Source organism: Homo sapiens, chromosome 6, assembly GCF_000001405.40.
Source record: "Homo sapiens chromosome 6, GRCh38.p14 Primary Assembly".
Taxonomy (NCBI): Eukaryota; Metazoa; Chordata; class Mammalia; order Primates; family Hominidae; genus Homo; species Homo sapiens.
The window spans coordinates 105,517,500-105,523,499 of record NC_000006.12 but is presented as its reverse complement, the minus strand read 5'-3'; the positions used below and the strand labels follow the sequence as shown (position 1 = coordinate 105,523,499).

The window sequence follows — 6,000 nt, the reverse complement described above, 5'->3', positions numbered from 1 at the left end:
GAGTCACCAGAGATAACAGTTGAACGTAGTGAAGAGAATACAGGTGATGACAAGGGTTCTGTTTGGATTGGGGGAAAACTTGTCGTAGGTGATCCCGAGAGTTAAACTGGATATAAACCACATGAGTCAAGCATCAGGTTCCCTTGTAACAAAGAAAGCCCTTGATCTGGAGAAGAACACATGCCCTCCTAAGGGACTGGACTCCTACCACTCCTCCCAGGCAGGGCTGGTAGGAGAAAGTCCTATGTGAGGTGGAGGCCATGGAGACAGGAACAGTTTCTCCTACAGTAGAAGACTGGAATTAGCAACATCTACCACACCTCCTCAGTTTCACTCTGTGAGATTCTGACATACTCATCCAGAGTTTCTCTGTAAGTTATACTTTTGATTCAAGAATGAGTGAGATATGAAATATATGAGCTAAAATGATACATCCATACTGATCTTTCCTCCTTACTTAGAGTACAGCCATTGAGTCTCTGCCAGAAAGAAAACTTTTTTTCCTCCCATCATATCCCTCTGCTACAGAATAATTTTAGGAATTCTTTCAGAGCAAGTCATATATTGATAAACCCCCGGCCAATGGGACAGGTAAAACTATAGAACAACTAGCCCCAATGAGTCAGCAAAATAGATAATAACATCACAGTCATTGAGTCATGACTCAGCATCTCCATGTCAGCATCTGTGTTTACACATTTGTGGGCCTTTCATCACCTACCTATCACGGGCACTGGTTTGGGATGCGAAGACCCCTCTTTCTGCTACTCAGTCAGTTGTCTTTTTATTCATTCCAAATGACTGCCCTGAAACAGAGGATGCAATGATGACCAGGGTATTGCAGGGTCTGTCTTAGTGTCTCAACTCTTACTCCAAACCTACTCAAAATGCCCTCTCCTTTCTGACATCTAGGGGCCAGGAATTTTGCACAGAAGCAGAAAAAAGAAACTTTATTTCTGGATCTCTGTCTCCTCTAGCCTCCCCTTACCAAACTTGTGAAATTACTTAAAAGGTTTACTGAAGGCAGGTCTCTGGACCACGCACAAAGAATCAAACAATTTATTACACACTTCATGATCTGAGTGGTGCATAAAGGAGTGCTGCATAAAACTTACATTCTCAAGCCCTACTTGGAGGTCTCAGGAACACTGAAACAGTGAAACTTGGAATAAAACAATTTTCCACTATATCTTTAGTTTTATCTTCCATTCAATATTATAAATGTACGAGGAAGAGAACTAACTAGATTTGAATGTAACTAGATGGAGCCGGGCACAATGACTCACACCTGTAATCCCAGCACTTTGGGAGACTGAGGCAGGCAGATCACTTGAGGTCAGGAGTTCGAGACCAGCCTGGCCAACATGGTGAGACCCCGTATCTACTAAAAATACAAAAAATTAACTGGGCGTGGTGGCGGGCGCCTGTAATCCCAGCTGCTCGGCAGGCTGAGGCAGGAGAATTGCTTGAACCCAGGAGGTGGAGGTTGCAGTGAGCCAAGGTCACACCACTGCACTCCAGCCTGGGCGAAGAAAAAAAGTAACTAGATGGAATTTTAGCCAATTTAAATAAAAGATCATACAAGGCCTGGCGTGGTGGCTCACCCCTGTAATCCCAGCACTTTGGGGGGCCGAGGCAGGCAGATCACCTGAGGTCAGGAGTTTGAGACCAGCCTGGCCAACATGGTGAAACCCTGTTTCTACTAAAAATGCCAAAAATTAGCCAGGCGTGGTGGCAAGTGCCTGTAATCCTAGCTACTCGGGAGGCTGAGACAGGAGAATCACTTGAACCCAGGAGGCGGAGGTTGCAGTGAGCCAAGATTACGCCATTGCACTCCAGCCTGGGCAACAAGAGTGAAACTCTGTCTCAAAAAAAAAATAAATCATACAAATGTAGAGATGTCATATATGGAGATGTGGCAGAAAAATGTAGCTCTGTAATTTTGTCTGAAATTAATATCGTTTTACTCATAACCCTAGCCACTGTGTGTTTAAAAATTAACTAAATTTGCATTCTGATTTAATATTGATATTATTTGCAAAATTTTTAAAAGTCGGGTAATAGTACCTCATTTTGATAAAAATGCTTGAGCTCTCAGGGCCCCTTGCCCCTTAGCAGGGAGTCCAAATATATGGAGGGAGATGTGTTGTTTATGTGTCCTTGTAACATTAGGGAAAAAGGACATCCTATTCTCATGCTGGGCCTTTGGTGAATGCTGCTTTTGGTGAATGCTCGTAGTATCTGCTGTTTTGCAGAGCTGCCTGTTATCATCTGGAAGCTGTTCATCCTGATGGCCCCATCCTTAGCCTGCTGCTGGAGTAACTTGAGATCTGAGATTCTCAGCTTCCATACAGCCTGCTAGAATGCCCTGGGCTATTGTCCCTCACTTGTCCCTTACCCCCTCTAATAAACCTGTTGGCTCAGCAGTTCACCCCTGCCTGTCTGGACTAGAGCTCCATATTCCATCTCAGTATGTTCTATCCAGTTCTATTCAACCTGCTAATGAAGTCATCAGCCAAAATTTATTTTCAAGTATTACCTTTTTAATTTCTAGAAGTTCTGCCTCAAAAAAAATTCTGCCTTTTCTCTGTTCATATTTTCAATTTCCAACTTATCTTTTTTTTAACATTAAGTATAACTTCTATTTAGCATTGATAAATCAAGCTGGTTGAGTCTTTCGGAGTCTGTGACTATTGTCCGCTCTTTGAAATTCTCCTTTATGTTGCTTTGTGTGTGTGATTTGTGACTATAAGTGGCTCATTTCTCTTAAAACCTTTTCTGCAAAAATTATTTGAGACCTGAATTGAACTTCCATTCCTCTATAGTGGATTCATGTCTACTTCTGCTAGTTACCTGGAAGTGCTACCAAATAAAAATTATTTAATTCAATTCTCAGCTTGAAGGCATGAATTCTAACAGGTCATCTTTCATGGGACTTTAATATGATTATGCATTTTCAGTGAAGATCTTTTTCCCTTCTTTTCAAAACCAAAAGTTATGAAGCAAGTTATTTTGTAGCTTTCCTGAACAGTGGATTTTATTTCTCATTCAGCAGCTTTTCATAGAGGATGCAACCACTTGAGATTCTCCTAACTTTATACAAGGATTCCTCACCTTGGCAGAGGTCTGAGGTTTATCTTTCATTCCCTGAACCTCAAGCAACAACCAAGGTTTCCAGGTTTAATCAGAATTCCCCAGTTTAAGAGCCTCCAGCATCTGGTTACCTCCCAGGGTTGCTAGTTTCCCTTCTTTTATGTGCTTAGTGAATTCCTTACTTTTGTGCCAGCTCAATGCAGCATTTTTATTCTGTCCAATATTTTGTTTTAGTCAGGAGAGCCACCTAGGGTACTACTCCAGCATACTACGGGAAACATAACCAGTCCCTTTTCTACCATAAATAAGAATAAACATTTACATGGTTGAGATATTGAATCCTCGGGCTTTGACACCAGTCAATTTCAGGTTAGAATTTCAGTTATTTGACCTACTACTGTACGGCCATAGGCAAGTTAGATGTTTGTTCATCCATTTGTTTGTTTAATTGTGTCCACAGTGAGGGTGCTACTCTGCTAGGTAGAAAGCCTCGGCCTAGAAGGTGGTTGTCTCTGAATAAAGGGTTTGAGATGACCTCCTGGGTTTGAGGGATCCATGGAGGCGCATAGTGTGACCCAGAAGGGAACATGCCCCACTCCCCTGTTTGGCTGCAGTAAATTTCTTAAACTTTTTTTAAACTCTCCTTTCTTCATTTGTTGAATTGAAATAATAATACCTTACCTCTCAGGTTGATACAAGGATTAAAGAGATCATATTTGTAAAGTACTTTGCAGACTCCCTGGCATATATCCAGTGATTATTAGCGATTTGATTATTAGTGTTATTTTATACATTTTCTCCATGTTCTTAAATTTTTTGTAAACAGAAATTTTACTCAACTAATTAAATATTTATTTAATGACAACCATGTTTAAGCTTCTAGAGTTAAAATAGTGAGCAAGACAAAGCCCCTGCCCTTTGATATTTATGTTCTAATAAAAAAGACAGGTAATAAGCCAGTAAGTAAATAAATATAATATATTATTGTCTTGACCCAGCAATCCCATTACTGGGTATATAACCAAAGGAATATAAATTATTCTATTACGAAGATACATGCATGAATATGTTCATTGCAGCACTATTCACAATAGCAAAGACATGGAATCAACCCAAATGCCCATTAATGATAGACTGGATAAAGAAAATGTGGTACATATACACCATGGAATACTATGCAGCCATGAAAAGGAATGAGATCATGTCCTGTACAGGGACATGGATGGAGCTGGAAGCCATTATCCTCAGTAAACTGACGCAGGAACAGAAAACAAAACACCACATGTTCTCACTTATAAGTGGGAGCTGAACAATGAGAACACATGGACACAGGGAGGGGAACAACATATAATGGGGCCTGTCGGGGGGTCGGGTGGGGAGAGGAAGAGCATTAGGAGAAATAGCTAATGCATGCTGAGCTTAATATCTAGGTGATGGGTTGATAGGTGCAGCAAACCACCATGCACATGTTTACCTATGTAACTAAACTGCACATTCTACACATGTACCCCAGGACTTCAAATAAAAATAAAAATTAAAAAATATATATGTATATAATTTCAAGTACCAATAAATATCACCCCAAAAACACATAAATCAAAGTAGGATATGGAAAATGATTGGATATGGTATAGATGCAATATTATTTTAAATAATATGATCAGATAAGGCCTCTCTGAGGAGGAAATAGTTAAGAAAAGTTTCTGAGTAAAGTGAGGGAATAAGACATACAGATATCAGAGAAGAAAAACCTCCCAGACAGAGACAACTACAAGTACAAAGACCTTGAACTCGAGATGCACTTGCCCTAGTGGAAATGTCAGGAAGGCAAAGATGGCTGGAGCAGAGGGGGAGGAAATGAGTTGGAGAGACTGGGAGGGGCCAGACCATGTATGGTCTTGGGATCCACCGTGTGGAGTATGGCTTTTATTCCAAGTATAATGGAATTGTCATTGGGACATTTTATACAGGGGAATGACATGATCTGATTCATATTTTAATAAGACCATCCTGGATAATGTATGAGGAGCAAACAATAAGACAAGAGCAAATGAGTCTAATGGGAAAAGCCAGTTGGGAGGCATCTTGCTGACTCAGTAACAGACAAGAGACATGGGGTTTGGGACAGGGTGGTAGTTGCAGAGATGCTAAAAGGGTACATGATTTGAAAGTAATGCTCACAAAGTTTGGTGCTAGATTTGGATGTGGAATGATGTAAAGGAGCCCAGGATAATGAATATCTAACATTTTGGGCAGAATGAGACAGGGATAAACGAGATGGGGAAGAATGGGGGAGCACTGAACTTGGTAAGTGAGGAAATCAAGTCTGGTTTTGTACAGATTGAATTTGATATGTCTATTAGTGAAAATGTTGAATAGGACATTGGTTACCCATGATTCTAGAGCTCTGAGGAGCTGTAGATAACATCTGGGTCAGTAGCATATGGACGGTTTTTATTTTGTATTTTTTAGTTATTTTTTTACCTGCTAATAAACATTTTAATTTTTTTTAACACTTTAAAATTTTTTGTGGGTACATAAGTGTATATATTTATGGAGTACATGAGAAGTTTTGATACAGGCATGCAATGTGAAATAAGCACATCATGGAGAATGGGGTATCCATCCCCTCAAGCATTTATCCTTTGAGTTACAAACAATCCAATTACACTCTTTAAGTTATTTTTAAATGTATTATTGTTATTATTGACTATAGTTACCCTATTGTGCTATTAAACAGTAAATCTTATTCATTCTTTCTATTTTTTTTTTTTGGTACCCATTTCCCCGCCTCCCTCACAGCCCCCAAAATACCCTTCCCAGCCTCTGGTAACCATTCTACTCTCCATGTCCATGAGTTCAATTGTTTTGACTTTTAGATCCCACAAATAAGTGAGAACATGTGAT

At 39.9% G+C, this 6,000-nt stretch overlaps 1 annotated feature.

The window, feature by feature from the left end:
• Positions 426-1,625: an enhancer, noted in NCBI's record as "MED14-independent group 3 enhancer chr6:105969750-105970949 (GRCh37/hg19 assembly coordinates)". NCBI's record gives its function as "activates an origin of replication core promoter dependent on BRD2, BRD4, P300/CBP and CDK7 cofactors, and independent of MED14, by STARR-seq in HCT116 cells {active_cell/tissue: HCT116}" and the evidence as "EXISTENCE:reporter gene assay evidence [ECO:0000049][PMID:35650434]".